Source organism: Homo sapiens, chromosome 16, assembly GCF_000001405.40.
Source record: "Homo sapiens chromosome 16, GRCh38.p14 Primary Assembly".
Taxonomy (NCBI): Eukaryota; Metazoa; Chordata; class Mammalia; order Primates; family Hominidae; genus Homo; species Homo sapiens.
The window spans coordinates 6,472,470-6,488,343 of record NC_000016.10 but is presented as its reverse complement, the minus strand read 5'-3'; the positions used below and the strand labels follow the sequence as shown (position 1 = coordinate 6,488,343).

Below are 15,874 nucleotides of genomic sequence, written 5' to 3'. Positions count from 1 at the left end.
TGGAAGACCTGTACTTACACATTCAGCTAACCACAATAAATCCAACTAGTACTTACATCTTCTTTGCAGACAACAACTGATTTCCTCACAACTAGAGACTACAACTAAACAACAAAGAAATACATCCACAGTACTGTGGCAAATGCAGATGCAGAATTACCATGAAGAGCAAAGGAAGGGCTGGCAGAGGCCTTCCTCATATACAGCCCTTTAGGGGTCTTCTCTGTAAAACAAACATTGGGCAAATAGTGCACCTTGATTTGTTTGGTTGTTGCTTTCTGTATTGGATTGAAAGCGTGGAGTAAATGGTGCTGGGAGATGAGCTTTTTGAGTGTATATCTGTGTCTGTGTACACTCTTTGTGTGAACAAGTTAATTCAAACCAGGTTAGAAAACTTAACGAACAAACCAAAAACTACAGATCATTAAAGCGGCTGGTTTTGACTACTAATTAGTGTGTAAGGAAAAAGGACCATTTTAAATAACAGGGAGAGATTTGGCTCATTAGATAAACATGAATCTAGAATTCCAGACATTACTTTAGGAATAGAGAAAAAGTAATAAACATGCCCATCACTGCATAATATTTTATATATATATATATATATATATATATATATATATATATATATATATATATATATTTTTTTTTTTTTTTTTTTTTTTTTTTTACATATATCACTGCCATCTTTGGAAGCTGAAAACACTAGTTCTACTATAATTGTATCTTTTCTTGAAAAGTCTTTCCTGGCCTTCATGACATTGGAGCTTGCCGACAGATTCTTCACTATCGGTAAATGCTTAGAAACTAACCACAGCTCTTTTCTTTTAAACCCAACCAAAATAATTTCAGGAGAACTTGCAAGCACAAAATTATGTTACAAATATCCAACTGATCCTATTTACATTTGCTACATCAAAGTATTCAGACATCATAAGCAAACAAGAAATGGAGACCCTCCCAATACCCTATAGGTTATGCAAGCACCTCAACAGAAAGAACACTTTGAAATTTTTATGGAGCAGGAAAAATTGGAAGCATATTAATCTAGGCAGTGAAATTGGGCTTTCTGTCATTTTTAATTGCTTGAATTCATAACCTAGTTTTGCTGAATCAAAAACGAGTTGCTGTAGCTGACATAAGCTGTTTCGGCCTTTTGGGTACACACACACACACACACACACACACACACACACACAGAAACCCCACAACTTACTGAAACCCCACAACTTTTCATAGAAACTTTATTTAGCTTAATAAAAACACACCCTGAAAACTGTTTGGGACATTATAGTTGCTGAATAATTTAATATGCGATGGTTTCCAAACCAAACACTGTATATTAAATGCTGACTTTTAAAGGCGTTTTATCTTTCTCTTGGTGCCGTGCAAGAAGAGGGGGTTCAGCAGGGATCCTAAATCCTTGAGACTGCTATTCTGATTATCTATGATTTAATTAAAATCAAATTATGCATGAGAATTCATAATTGTAAAATTCTTCTCATTTGCTCCTGTTGACTACTGCTCATAATACACACAAACACACAACCCTGCATGAAAATGAAAGAAAACAAAAAGAGCAAAAACGCATACCCATAAATGCAAACAAAGATTTGATATTTTAACACACTCCAAAGTTTTTGGATCCATAACAAAGTAAAGTCTAAAATGCCAAAAAAAAAAATAATAAAATTAAGGGTTCAAGCTTTTTCCTCATTTCTTTTTATGTTCGTCAGAAAATCAACACAAGATGGAGAGTGAAGTCTCATAGAGAGGACTTTTAATCCCAACAGAATTACTTTCCAAGAACTTACGCCAACTCCCTTTGATAACTTTGAGACTAAGACACGTGAAGTTTTTAAAATAAAAGCTAAAAGCTAAACACAACTAAGTTTAATTAATAATAATCATTTTATTATTAGTTCAGATATCTTCTTCCTCTTTTAGATGACTTTTCATTTCACCAGATTACAACTGTGCTCAAAATCTAATATAAAAATTATAAATTTAGACAGAAAACAAGACCAAGTTTGTTCTTCACTAGATGTTGTAATATTTGTTTAGCTCAAGATTGGCCCATTCAAGCAGGTTGTCTATAATCAAATCAAAGACAACAATGAGGAGTGTGTACCTGGATTCTCAAAACAAAAGTCATATACACCAATTAGTGTCATAAAATATGACAATATATTTTCCAAATATTGCAACTATAGTTTATAGGAAGGCAATCAATGCCAAAAAAAAAAAAAAAAAAAAAAAAAGCCTTTTACTGAGATCTCCTTCAACTTTTGTATCATACTCCTAGTAGAGAGAGGAAAAAAAAAAAGAAAAATAATTAGCTGGTCCTTTTTAAGAGCAAAAAGGAACACAATATCATACAAAAAAGAAAAACTATTTTTGTTGTACTTCAATTACCTGGCCCATAAGTCAGCACTGATAGTTATTTCTACCAAGTCTGAGTAAATACAGATTAAAATGAATCCAGACTCTAAAATTAAGACAAGTGATAGGAAAAACAGAAGTTTGAAGGATAAGATTTTAAGAGACAAATGTAAAAATAAGCTTAGTCCAATAAAGTCATGAGACAGAAAGTACTTTCGTATAAACCCTCAATTTGGGGTAACAGAAAAGATTCTGCTCTTTTTACATAGTAAAAGTGTTTTCAAAGAGTCTAGTTGCTTGGTTAAAAAGAAATGATAAAAAAGTTTGAATATTCACTTTTTATAAGACTGCTGTACAGTGGAATTGCCTGATACTAAATAATTCTTGCAGGTGAGCGGAGAATTCCTGAAAGAAAGAAAGAAAAACAGGCTCTGGTGATCCTCCAGCGTGCAAAACATATGTTAAAGTGTAGCAAAGATACCTAAAAGGTTTCTGTGCACCAGGTAAAACAGTAAAGACAGAAAGATGGAAAGAAATACACGTAGATGAAAAAAAATGGGATAAGGAGGAAGAAATACCCAGAGGGAGACCAAGAGAGAGAAGAGAAGAGGGGTAAGAGAGGGAGGGAGGAGCTCCTTCTACATGTCCCCCTACCTCATTCCTCAGATTAACAATTCCCTCTTCATAACCTCTGAGTATTCTAATAGAGGGGAGGCATCACACGTGTGGGAAGCGTGTGGGCAGATAAGACTTGGAAAATCTTGCTTTTTAAATGAAAAGCCTGGATTCCTGTGAGCCTGAGTGGCAAGCAGCTGTTGCTGATTGACTTGCATTCACTTACTTAACAAACAACCCTCTTCAAACTTAGTCATAGCAAACCACAAAGGCAAGTTACTCCATGCCACAAACACCCTTTTACTCACACTCTTTGGATTTTCCAGCACACATTTAAATCAAAAAATAGGGAACACAGTGGAGAAAGATGTCCCCATTTTAAGCCAAACAATTTACTACCCAGCTACCCTACTAAAGAGAGGATTACACAATCATTTTTGCCTGCTTCAGCAATAAACCGCATTCATTTCTGTGTAACCAAAATTGAAACCATGTCAACAATGAGTAAATTCTTCTACGTGAAGACACTCAGAAAGTGACTCTTTTAGCAAATAATTTCATAACGTTTTACTAAGGTGACACTGCCAACAAAACTTTTGGATTCACAATTCTGCTTGGAGCCCTCTTAAGTAGGAAGGTGGAAAACGCAGCTCTTTTGTCAAAAGAAATAATAAAACCCCCAATTTCCCCATAATCTGAAAATAAGGGCTAGAGGGATGAGCTGTGCTTGAGAGGCTAGGTGATCATTGTAGACTGATGGATGTCACATTCGACACTCTGTATATAATATATTCTATAAATGCATAACAGTTCATTCCATCACTTGAGAAGGCAAGGCACATTTCTCCCATTTGATCTCAGAAGAAGGCAACTCTTATTCCATGTCATAAAATGGTACAGAGCTTATTTCTCAAGTCGAAGCGTGTTCAGTATTGTCAATTTAATCTCTCTTCCATGGGAAACAGGCAGAGAAGATGAAGAGTACACCAGCGCAACGAGCATGGTGGACATGTTTACACAGATATGCAGCGCATATGCTCACATTTGCACACACATGCTCCCTTGCAACGTGAGCATGCCAACTTCGCAAATGCACAACCCATCTGGCCATTCATTTCATAAACCTCTCATTTCCAGAGCCGCGCATCTCTTGCAAAACCATGGCTAGCCTATTGGGACTTTTACATCGGTTCTTAATAAACGCTTATTCATCTCTGGGAATAAAGTTAAACGGAGCCAATGAGCATTGGCAAGGAAGTTGCCCACTAACTTCCAGTGGGTAAAGAAAATCGATGCATCTCCGGGCTCCCCAATCCCTCTAAACGCCCCCTAGCCCTCTCCAAGTGTCCAGACCACCCCCACCACGGGGCACCCAGGGCGAGCCCTGAGCACAGTCTCCGAGGTCCCCGGAGCTGGAGCTCGGCTTACATACCGCGTCCCATTCACGCGCTGCAAACGCAGCCTCATCCTTCCATCTCCGGTTTGGGTTTCCCGGATTCCATCCACGGCCAAGTCCCCTATTCTAATCAGCAGCCCCGGAGGCGCACACGCCGCCACCGTGTCTGCGCTAACGTTGGACAGCGGCTGACGGCTGCTCCTCTGCCACAGGCAGCCAAAAATGTCAATTTGCACACTCCTCCCCCTGTCGCCCGCCCCCGTCCCTCTGCAACCCCCTCCCGCGGAGTCAGTGGGCTTCAGGAAGCCTCTGCAGAAGCTGCCTGGTCTCTCCCTTCCCTCCCTCCCTCTCTCCCTCTTTCTCTCCTTCCCTGACAGTGTTTTAGAGTCTTCTTCGCTCGCCGTACCTGAAGGGCATCTCCCACGACTGCAATTAGCTGCCAAGATTTCATTGTCGGCTGCAAAGTGCCTCCTGTTTCCTCACCGGGAAAACACAGCACGGGAGAAGTCCGAGGCAACAGCAAACGGCACCCACGTGCTAGCAATGTAAATGACTCCAGTCATCTGTCGTGCGCGCCGCGCGCCTTCGCTCGCCCGGGCTGCCTGGCACGACCGCCAGCAGGTGCAGAACGCCCCGAGCGCGCGGGCGCGAGAGCGAGCAGCCCGTGCAAGGAGGCAATCAACACCCGGGCGCGCACAAAGGGAGGCCACGGCGGCGCCAGGGCCCGGGTCCGGCTTCCCCGGCCGGCCTCGGCCTCTGTCCGCGCCAAAACGCTCGCCAAATGAGACGCCCAATGTTTTTGCAAACTCTTGCAGCTGGGGGAAGGCAGTGGATACTGGGGCTGCGTGGGTCCCGCCCCTACGGGTCGGAGGCACTTGCAAAGCTCCGAGCTGGCTGCGGTATCTCGCCGCTCGCCCTCTCTCGCCCGCACGTGTCCCTTCCCTTGTTCTTTCAGGCATTAAATATGTACCACATGACAGAATAGGGCACCTTGCACGGTTCCCTGAGTCCGCACTTGACAACCAATTTTAACTCACGAGCAATCAAATGTCTAAAGGCGGATATAAGCACTCCCAATTACTTACGCTACTCCTGCATTATTCAGAATGTCCACGGGACAGTATTTATGACTTCCAATATGCTGCTTCACCTAGAAATACTGGTAAAACATCGAAGACCCCAGCACCGCGCCCCCAATCTCGCCTCCCGCCCCAAACAGCTAGGCTTTCATCCTATTTCATCTCCGAGAAGCAGCTGCACTTTATTTAGGAGCGAAGCTTTAGGATCTCAACTCTTTTTCCACGTTACGTACTAAATGAGAATGCGCTGAGGTTTCAGCCTGCTTTTAGGAGAAAAACAACTGTCGTCTCTGTTGAAATTTAGAGATCACCTTTTAAATATGTGTACCTTGAATAATAATATCATCAAAGTAATTTTCCTGTTATTTTCCCAAGAAGTCCTCATAGATCTATTTCACTTTTTTTGTTGCTGTTGTTAATAGGAATGAGTTACACAGGTTCTAGCTATCTTCAGCTTAAGTGCTGATTTTGGTAGGGACCAAAAAATTAATTGGCTGGGGAAATGACTCTTGGATGTAGAAAAACTAATTTGTTCTTTTTCCTTTCTCTTCACAGTTAGAACTGCAAGCTGTGTGCACTAAGATGGCTTTGCTACCTCAAGCACTTATTTAAACAGGAAGGATCTAAATGGGAAATAAAATTTAATATACATATATCCCTCCTATATTTGATCAACAATGAGTGAAATATTCATTGGCTTCCTGCCTGTGTCCTTCTTGGATACTTTATTTGAGTTAAAGTATACAACTTGTATACAACTGATTAGGATTTTATGCATTGGTAAGCAAATATTAAAATGCTAATAAATCTTTCAAATATTTTCACATTCGTTACAACTTCATATCTAGAGGCAATATTTCAAGTGTGTCTTTTTTTAACATGCCAATTCCTTATGTAACCATCATCCATCTTTGTCATACCAGGAACAAAACGAGGAGGGATTTTTTTTTCTTCTGTGCATTAAGAGTGTTTTTAATATGATATTAACACAGTGTTTAACTTTCTCCTTGCAGAGTTAACAAAATTCTATTTGTGTTCTCTCTGCCTGCCTTTCTTACAGGGTCAGTGGCATTTAACGGATGCTGAGATAACCATAAAGTAAAACCTTATTTCACAATAATGATGCCATGAAGAACATGCTCCACTCCCTACTATTTTTAAAGTTAACTTCTAATGTTATCTTGTATGATCCCCTGACACATTTTCCAACAGCACCAGGTAAAATGGCAAAAAGGGGTTTAGACTTTCGCTTATCCAGAACCCTGTACAATTACAGAGATTCACAAATATAGAGTATTATTATTAACCCAGCACACACTGGCATGCCCAGTGGAATAATTTGATTCACAAATCAGTTCACAAAAGCAAGGTTATAGGAAGGGACGCATGGTGCGGGTGGCCGATGGAGAGACAGCAAGCCCTAATTACAACCCCATTGTCCTCGTGTTCTCAGCACATGTGGCCATTTAATCACAGAGCGTGACAACCTTGGCAGATGTTGCCAGACCTGGTTATTGATATAAATTGCTATTCTCATGTGCAAGGGGCACAGCAAACAGTTAAAACCATGTCTGCAGCCACCCAAAGGGACATGAAGGCCCACATTTACAGCTGTAACTACAAGGCAAGATGATACAGAGAGAAGGTTGTTTTCTTGCTCCCACCCCATAAGTAAAACAGGAAGGGATGCAACCTCCCAAACCAAGAATGGCAGTAGAGTCTCCCATGAGCACTGTAAACTGATATTGTCTCTCGGGAAGCTGATTTACTAGTACCTATTAAAATGGAAAATGTGCATACCCTATTATCAAACAGCTCTACTTCTAATGTCTGTCCTAAAAAACATGCACAAGATACATTTGTGGATATGTTTGGATATAATTGCTATTGCTTGTGATACAGGATGGGGTTGTGGGGGGAGGCAACAGACTAAATACCCATCTAGCATTAAAAATATGGCATATCATATGATGGAATACCATATAGCAGTGAAAAGAATCAAATAAAGCCACATATGAATACCTCCATTGCTATATAGACATGAATATGTAGGAACAGAAATAAAAATACACACTATAAGGTACAAATATATATACAAATATTTCTCAGCAAAAATAAATTGCTGAGATAAAAATACAAGTTTTAAATGACTTCTACACTTATGACACCATTTCTGAAAGAGAATGCACTAATATAATATTATAGGTTTTCCGTAGATATATAAATATTTGTGAATGTACTGGGAACAGTCCAAAACAGAAGATAGCCAACTACAGCCCAAGAATCAAACTCAGCCATTCTCTGTTTCTGTACAGCCTGCTAGTTAAAAATGGTTTTGATACTTTAAATAGTTTTTAAAAGTCAAAAGAAGAATAATATTTCGTGATGTGTAAAAAATGTAGGAAATTCAAATTTCAGCATCCATGAATGAGGTTTTATTGAAACATAGCTATGCCCATTTGTTTATGGGTTGCTACGACTGCCTTCATCTGCAAATGCGGAGTTTAGTGTCTGTGAGAGACCAAGTGGCCCAGGAAGTCTAAAATGTTTACTCTCTGGCCCTTTACATGCATATAACATGTATACATATAACTTGTTTTAAGTGAAAAGTGTGTATGTATATATACTCTATATGTTATATGTGTGTACATGTGTATCACTTTTAAAAGCATAAAGCCAGTACATAAGTGTTCTCTTAAAAGAACAAAAGGAGCTCTCAAACTCAGGTAAAAACTAGTCTCCTTCCTCTTTTCCTAGAGATGACACTATTGTGAATTTCAGTCCCATTTTTCTAGACCAGTGATTTTTTTTTTTTTTTTTTCGAGGTGGAGTCTTGCTCTGTCTCCCAGCCTGGAGGGCAGTGGCACGATCTCAGCTCACTGCAACCTCTGCCCCTGGGTTTAAGCAATTCTTGTGCCTCAGCCTCCCGAGTAGCTGAGATCATAGGTACCCGCCACCATGCCCAACTAATTTTTTGTATTTTTAGTAGAGATGGGGTTTCACCATGTTGGTCAGGCTGGTCTCAAGCTCCTGACCTCAAATGATCTGCCTGCCTCGGCCTCCCAAAGTGCTGGGATTACAGGCATGAGCCACCGTGCCTGGCCTAGACTGGTGATTGGTGAACTTTTTTCTGTAAGAGGCCATAATTCCCATGTGTCAAGGGGAGAAACCAGGTGGGAGGTGATTGGATCATGGGGGCAGTTTCCTCCATGCTGTTCTCATGATAGTGGGTGAGTTCCCATGAGATCTGATGGTTTCATGGTTTTCTTTTCTTTTTCTTTTTTGAGACAGCATCTCGTTCTATCACCCAGGGTAGAGTACAGTGGCATGATCTCAGCTCACTGCAACTTCTGCTTCCCAGATTCAAGTGATTTTCCTGCCTCAGCCTCCCGAGTAGCTGGGACTACAGGTGTGTGCCACCATGCCGGGCTAAATTTTGTATTTTTAGTAGAGACAGGGTTTCACCATGTTGGCCAGGCTGGCCTTTAACTCCTGTCCTCAAGAGATCTGCCTGCCTCAGCGTCCTGAGATCTGATGGTTTTATAAGGCAGTTCCCTGATCTTTCTGGCTCTCTCTCACCTGCCGCCATGTAAGATGTGTCTACTTCCTCTTCCGCCATAATTGAAAGTTTCCTGAGGCCTCCAGAACTGTGAGTCAATTAAACTTCTTTTCTTTATAAACTACGCAGTCTCAGGTATGTCTTTATAGCAGTGTTAGAACGGACTAATACAGTATGAAACTTTTAAAGTTGTATACACGCTTACACACAAACACACACACACACAGGCATACCTCATTTTATTGTCTTTCACTTTATCATGCTTTGCAGATATTGCATTTTGTACAAATTGAAGTTTTGTGGCAACCTTGTGCTGAGCAAGTCTATTGGTGCCACTTTTTTTCAGTAGCAAGTGCTCACTTTATGTTTTTGTATCACATTTGGGTAAATCTCACAATATATCAAACCTTTTCATTATTGCTAGATCTGTTACTGTGATCTGTGATGAGCAATGTTTGATGGTACTATTATAATTGTTTTGGGGTGCCAAAAACTGTGCCCATATAAGATGGCACACTTAATTGATAAAGATTGTGTGTGTTCTGACTGTTCCACTGACAGGCCATTCCCCCTGCTCGCTCCCTCTCCTTGGCCTTCCCATTCCTTAAGGCACAACAATCTTGAAATTAGACCAATAAATAACCTTACAATAGCCTCTAAGTGTTCAGGTGAAAGGAAGAGCCACACACCTCTCACTTTAAATCAAAAGCTAGAAATGATTAAGCTTCATGACGAAGACACTTTTAAAGCTGGGACAGCGCCTGTAATCCCAGCATTTTGGGAGGCCAAGGCAAGTGAATCACAAGGTCAGGAGTTCCAGAACAGCCTCGCCAACATGGTGAAACCCTGTCTCTACTAAAAATACAAAAAAAAAAAAAAAAAATATATATATATATATATATATATATATATATATATATATATTAGCTGGGTGTAGTGGCAGGTACCTGTAATCCCAGCTACTTGGGAGGCTGAGGCAGGAGAATCGCTTGAACCTGGGAGGCGGAGGTTGCAGTAAGCTGAGATCACGCCACTGCACTCCAGCCCAGGTGACAGCTAGAGACTCCGTCTCAAAAAAAAAAAAAAAAGCTGGGACAGGCTAAAAGCTAGGCTCCTGCACCAACTAGCCAAGTTGTGAATGTGATGAAAAAGTTATTAAAGGAAAGTAAAAGTGCTACTCCCTTGAACACACTACTAATAAGTAAAAGAGCCTTGTTGCTGGTGTGGAGTATTAGTGGTTTAGATGGAAGATCAAACCAGCCACAACATTCTCTTAAGCCAAAGCCTAATCCAGATCAAGACTTTAATCCTCTTGAATTCTATGGAGGCAGAGAGAGGTGGGAAAACTGACAAAAAAAAAGTGTGAAGCTAGCAGAGGTTGGTTCATGAGGTTGAAGGCAAGGAGGAGTATCTGTAACATGCAAGTGGAAGGTGAAATGGCAAGTGCTGATGGAGAAGCTGCAGCAACTTACCCTGAAAATCTAGCTAAGATCACTGACGAAGGTGGCTACACTAAATGACAGATTTTCAGTGTAGACAAAACAGTCTTCTCTTGGAAGAAGATGGTATCTATAACTTTCATAGAAAGAAGTCAACACCTGGCTTTAAAGCTTCAAAGGACAAGCTGACGCTCTTATTAGGGGCTAATACAGCTGGTAACTTTAAATTGAAAGCAAGGCTCATTTACCATTTTGAATCTCCTAGGGCCCTTAAGAATAACTCTAAATCTACTCTGCCTATGCTCTAGAAATGAAACAGGACATCTGTTTATAGCATGGTTTGCTGAATATTTTAAGCCCACTATTAACACCTACTATTCAGAAAAAAGGATTCCTTTAAAAATATTACTGCTCATTGACAACACATCTGGTCACCGGAAAGCTCTGATGGAGAAGCACAAGGACATAAGTGTTCTGTTCGTGCCTGTTAATGCAATATAGGTTCCTGCAGCCAATGGATCAAGGAATAATTTTGATTTCCAGTCTTATTATTTAGGAAATATATCTCATAAGGTTATAGCTGCCATAAACACGGATTCTTCTGATGGTTCTGGGCAAAGTACACTGAAATATTCTAAAAAATATTCGCTTTTGAGATGCCATTAAGAACATTCAAGATTCATGGAAGGAGGTCAAAATAGCAACATTAACAGGAGTTTGGAATAAGTTGATTCCAACTCTCAAGAATGATTTTGAAGGGTTCAAGACTTCAGTGGAGGAAGAACCTGGAAATGTGGAGGAAATAGCTAAAGAACTAGAATTACAAGTGGAGCCTGAAGAGGCAACTACATTGCTGCAATCTCGTGATAAAACTTTAACAGATGAGGAGTTTCTTCTTATGGATCAGCAGAAAAAGTGGTTCCTTGAGATGGAATCTACATCTAGTAAAGATACTATGATCCTTGTTGCAATGACAACAAAGAATGTAGAATATTACATACACTTAGTTGATTAAGCAGTAGCAAAGTTTGAAAGGATTCACTCCAATTCTGAAAGAAGTTCTACGTTAGGTAAAATGCTGTCAAACAGCATCAGGTGCTGCAGAGAAGTATTTCATGAAAGGAAGAATCAATCCATGTGATAAACTTCACTGTTTCCTCATTTTAAGAGATTGCCACAGTCACCCCAACCTTCAGCAACTACCACAACTACCACCCTGACCAGTACAAAGCCATCAACACCGAGGCAAGACCCTCCACCAGCAAAAAGATTAGAACTCATTAAAGGCTCAGATGATTGTTGGCATTTTTATTTTAGCAATAAAGTCTTTTTAAATTAAGGTATGCACGTCGTTTTTTAGATACAATGCTATTGCACACTTAATAGACTACAGTATGGTACAAAAGCACAGCTTTTATATGCGCTGGGAAACAAAAAATAGTGTGACTCCCTCTATTATGATATTTACTGTATTGCAGTGGCTTGTAACTGAACCTACAGTATCTCCAAGGTGTGCCTGTACATCTATAGGTCTTGCTTTAAGTGTACAAGATGTGTATTTACTATTTTTTTAAAGTGTATGTGTATGTCTCTACGGATATTTGTAGACACACACCCCTGGAAGAAATCATACAAAATGGGTAGTATTTGCTAGTGAGATTATAGGTGCTTATTATTTTCTTCTTTGTCATTTCCTGTATTTCTCTATTTTTCAAACAGATGTAAATATAAGAAAAGGGTGGCGTCCCTGGCCATGTGAGTGTCGATGACTGACATTGTACCAATAACATTTTTTTTCACCTGGGAACTGCCTGTTCTCTTCAAACGCTGGATGATAAAACCTTCAAAAAGAAAAGCATCAAGGTTTGGTTTATGCCCACCTAACATTTCTGGAAAACTCCAGCATCTAATTGCTTCTTCATAGGGGGAAAAAAAGACGTTAAGCCTCAATGCACTAAAGATTTTTATAAAAATCAATCTTATCCTTGAAGTAAAATGCGACGTAGATTATCCTTTCTGCTAGAAGTTATGGTAATGACCTATTGAAATATTCCTCACAATACAGTAATATTACTTCTTTACCAGTTTGAAAATATTTTCCTGTAGAAAAGCACAAAGCAAGCTCCACCTAAAAAAATAAAATTACATAGCAACCACATTGAAAGTTTGCAGGATTAGAACACTAGGACCTACTGATTTTCTTTGTCCTGACACCTAATAATCCAGTTACATTAAGAAAGGTGAGCTTAATGAAGCATATTGAGATGGGAGAACATACGATTTATAGTGGACTTGTGGTTACATTTCTAAATGAATCCCATTAGCTCTATATTGGTTGCTGGTAAGTGACCACGTTTTCTAATAGACAAATGCATGAATCACCTGGGCATATTTTCCAAGCATTGTCTACAAAATGGTTCACCTTACAAATTTAAACAAAGACCAGGTGAATGACCCTCATTCCTGAAGCGTAGCAGACTTCCTTTAAGCAAGAAACAGAATTATTGCAACCGAATATCCATTCCATCTCCTTATAACTTAGCATGCACATATAGCCTCATCCTTGAGATGGCAGGAATCAAGCACACTGCTGACAGGAATATTCTTCTAATAGTATTACAACCAACATTGTTTTCAATGTGTTTTATAATTATAAAACCTATGAGTGTTTATTGTGGAAAGTTTAGGAAATTTCAAAAAGCACCAGAAAAGCTAACATTATTTCACCACCCAAAGAGAGCTCCAAGTACTATTTTGTTGGAAGTCTATCCACTTCAGACATTTTCTACTGCATATAGAACTAAAACATTATAAGCACACAATTGGGATGTTACTGTATAAGCTGCCTTCATCTTTTGCACTTTGCAATGTATCATGAACACTTTGTGCTGTAAGGACAAAAAATGTACAAGGTCAGTTTATGTATTCCACTCTAATGCTACACACTTTCTCTTTATGTTAAATAACACTGCAGTGAACATCACTTCCTGATGTTATGATATTTTTCTCTGTGCCTTATCTCAGGGTAGATACCTAAAAGTGAAACCGATGAGTCAAAAAAGTGGGCACCGTATTTAAGTTTTTAGATCTAAGGAACCAGAATTCTAGAAGCTTACATGAATCCATATTCCCAGCAGCAGTATGAAAGGGAACTCATCTCACCACTGAGAACAATTTTTGGCCAACTTCTTTCTCTTTCAATAACCGTTTCCCTGGCTGGGTTCCCTCGCCTATCCACCTGCCCCACTTGGGGCACCACACCATCCCATGCTAAAGTAGCATAGAACAGCCCAGACATAGAAAACAAAGGTGGTGATGAGGAGCAATTTAAATCTAAGCTTATTTAACATAAGTGGCTGGTGGCTGCCCATTTTGTCTTAATTGCCTTTTAAACTAAAATCAATGTTAAATTACCTGAACAACAGCTTCTGCACAATTGCAAAGTGAAAATTCTTTAAGTGCCTCCTCAAAAGCCTTTGGCTCCCGTTTGGGCGACTGACAGGAAAAGAGTCTTTTTCCTCTTCACTGTGTTATAGCTTTGGACCACGGGATATGATTAAAGGGTCCTGAAAACAGATGTCACGTCCGCTCTGGGATGAATTACTATTCCCTCACATCGAAATGGGATTAAAGTGTTCGAAATAGAATCTGGATAATAAAAACTGGATAATAGTACTATGATGTCCCCATCCTTTTCCCTCCCTTCTTTCCTTCCTTTTTAATTTTCCCTCCCATCAAGGATAGACTGCATACACAAATGGACACTGGCAAGACCATATAGAAAAAGAGAAATCTGACCCACAGTTTGCAGTAACCAGCCCAGGAAACCAGCTTATTGTCTACAGGAAGCCAGCCTGCTATCCACAAGTCACGATTCAAGGAAGTCAGATTACTATCTCTAGTAACTGGTCCAGGAAGCCAAACAAAAATCCACTGGCTCAGAAACAATCAGGACTAGATTCGTAACTGACAGCTTTCCTAATTTTTGTCCACACCTCCAACTTCGGACCAATCAGAGAAAGCCAAGTGTGCACCTTAACCGATCACAAGGAACACCCCTTTCTACTTAGCCCATCTGCAGCTTCCCCACGCAAACAGCCTCTAGCCAGGCCATATCTGAAGCTGTCCCTTTATTTATCTACTATAAAATTTTCCTACTCCTCTGCCTGCCTTTGAGTTTCTGGCAAAATGCAAGTGAGGATGTCTGACTCCTTGCTATAGCAAGCTCTGAATAAATAGCCTCTGTTTATTTTTATTTGGTTGGTCTTTATTTCTTCAATAAAGACCAACCAAATAAAAATAACAGAAGCTATGTTTTTTGTCAACAGGATTAACAAAACAAGAGCCCTCATGTAGCTTATGTTCTAGTGAGGGAGACAGATAAGAAACAAGGAGATGACAGATTTTTGCAACTGTTGGGTGGGAAATAGCCTTGTGATGAAATGGGGGTGAGTCAGTGGAGATACATACCTTCGATAAGATGCTAGGGTTGTCAGCATCCATTATTGCATGAACTGACTCCTTTCTTTTGTTTCGTTCAAGGATTAATTGAGCACTTGCTGTCTGATTTGTACTACAGAACTACAAAAATGAGACAGACATGTACCCTGCCAACAAAAAGCCTCGGAGGGTGATCCATGTTCACTAATCACCAGAAAACAAAATAGATAAGTAGGCAGGGCTAGAAAACAAAGATTCAGGATAAGAGCTGTGAGAGCCAAGAGTCAGGAGGTAAATTTTATTTCCATGTGTTGCAGGGCATCCTGGGGTCCCCGGGCAGAAGACTAGGGGTACATAGGGAGAGGTACATAGGTAATCATGGGTGTTCCTCTCTGTTATACCAGCATACATCTTGTAAAGGTGGAAGAGTTTCACCTGGAGATATCCCTATATGATCATGCTATCTTCCTTACAACAATTCTTCCTTGAGGGTCCTAAATAAGAAACTGGGCCGGGCACAGTGGTTTACGCCTATAATCCCAGCACTTTGGGAGGCCGAGGTGGGTGGATCAAATAAGGTTGGGAGTTCGAGACCAGCCTGGACAACACGGTAAAACCCCATCTCTACTAAAAACACAAAAAAAACAGCTGGGCATGGTGGCGCACGCCTGTAATCCCAACTACTCAGGAGGCTGAGACAGGAGAATCACTTGAACCGGGAGGCGGAGGTTGCAGTGAGCCAAGATTGCGCCACTGCACTCCAGCCTGGGCAACAAAGTGAGATTCCATTGAAAAAAAAAAAAGAAAGAAAGAAAAAAGAAAGAAGCTGGGCAGAGTTTGGAGAATAAGAGAATAAAATGTCATCAGAGAGATGATGACTCACACTTTCCCCAAATCCCTTCACTCCACAGATGTCAGCAGTATGTCACCTCCCAAAGGAAACAACAGGATGCAACAAGACCCC

The 15,874-nt window shown here is 40.2% G+C and overlaps 1 protein-coding gene across 28 annotated transcripts in view, besides 1 other annotated feature; it reads right to left on the bottom strand.

The window, feature by feature from the left end:
• RBFOX1 (RNA binding fox-1 homolog 1) overlaps nt 1-15,874 on the bottom strand; it is a 2,473,620-nt gene that overhangs the window by 1,224,997 nt on the left and 1,232,749 nt on the right. For 10 of the 28 annotated variants that reach the window (NM_001415889.1, NM_001415898.1, NM_001415894.1 and 7 more), the window contains exon 1: nt 4,800-4,958. The exons of 16 other annotated variants lie outside the window; for them this stretch is intronic. In NM_001415889.1, the coding sequence (NP_001402818.1) occupies nt 4,800-4,844 (45 nt within the window). In that variant the 5' untranslated portion in view covers nt 4,845-4,958. Of the gene's footprint in view, nt 1-4,429; nt 4,591-4,799; nt 4,959-15,874 lie in introns of those variants that run through there. 2 more of the 28 variants (NM_001415916.1, XM_005255391.5) reach the window with 1 other exon arrangement.
• Nucleotides 4,785-5,710: an enhancer, noted in NCBI's record as "H3K4me1 hESC enhancer chr16:6532635-6533560 (GRCh37/hg19 assembly coordinates)". NCBI's record gives its function as "activates a minimal SCP1, AML or CMV promoter by ChIP-STARR-seq in naive H9 embryonic stem cells {active_cell/tissue: H9 hESC(naive)}" and the evidence as "EXISTENCE:reporter gene assay evidence [ECO:0000049][PMID:30033119]".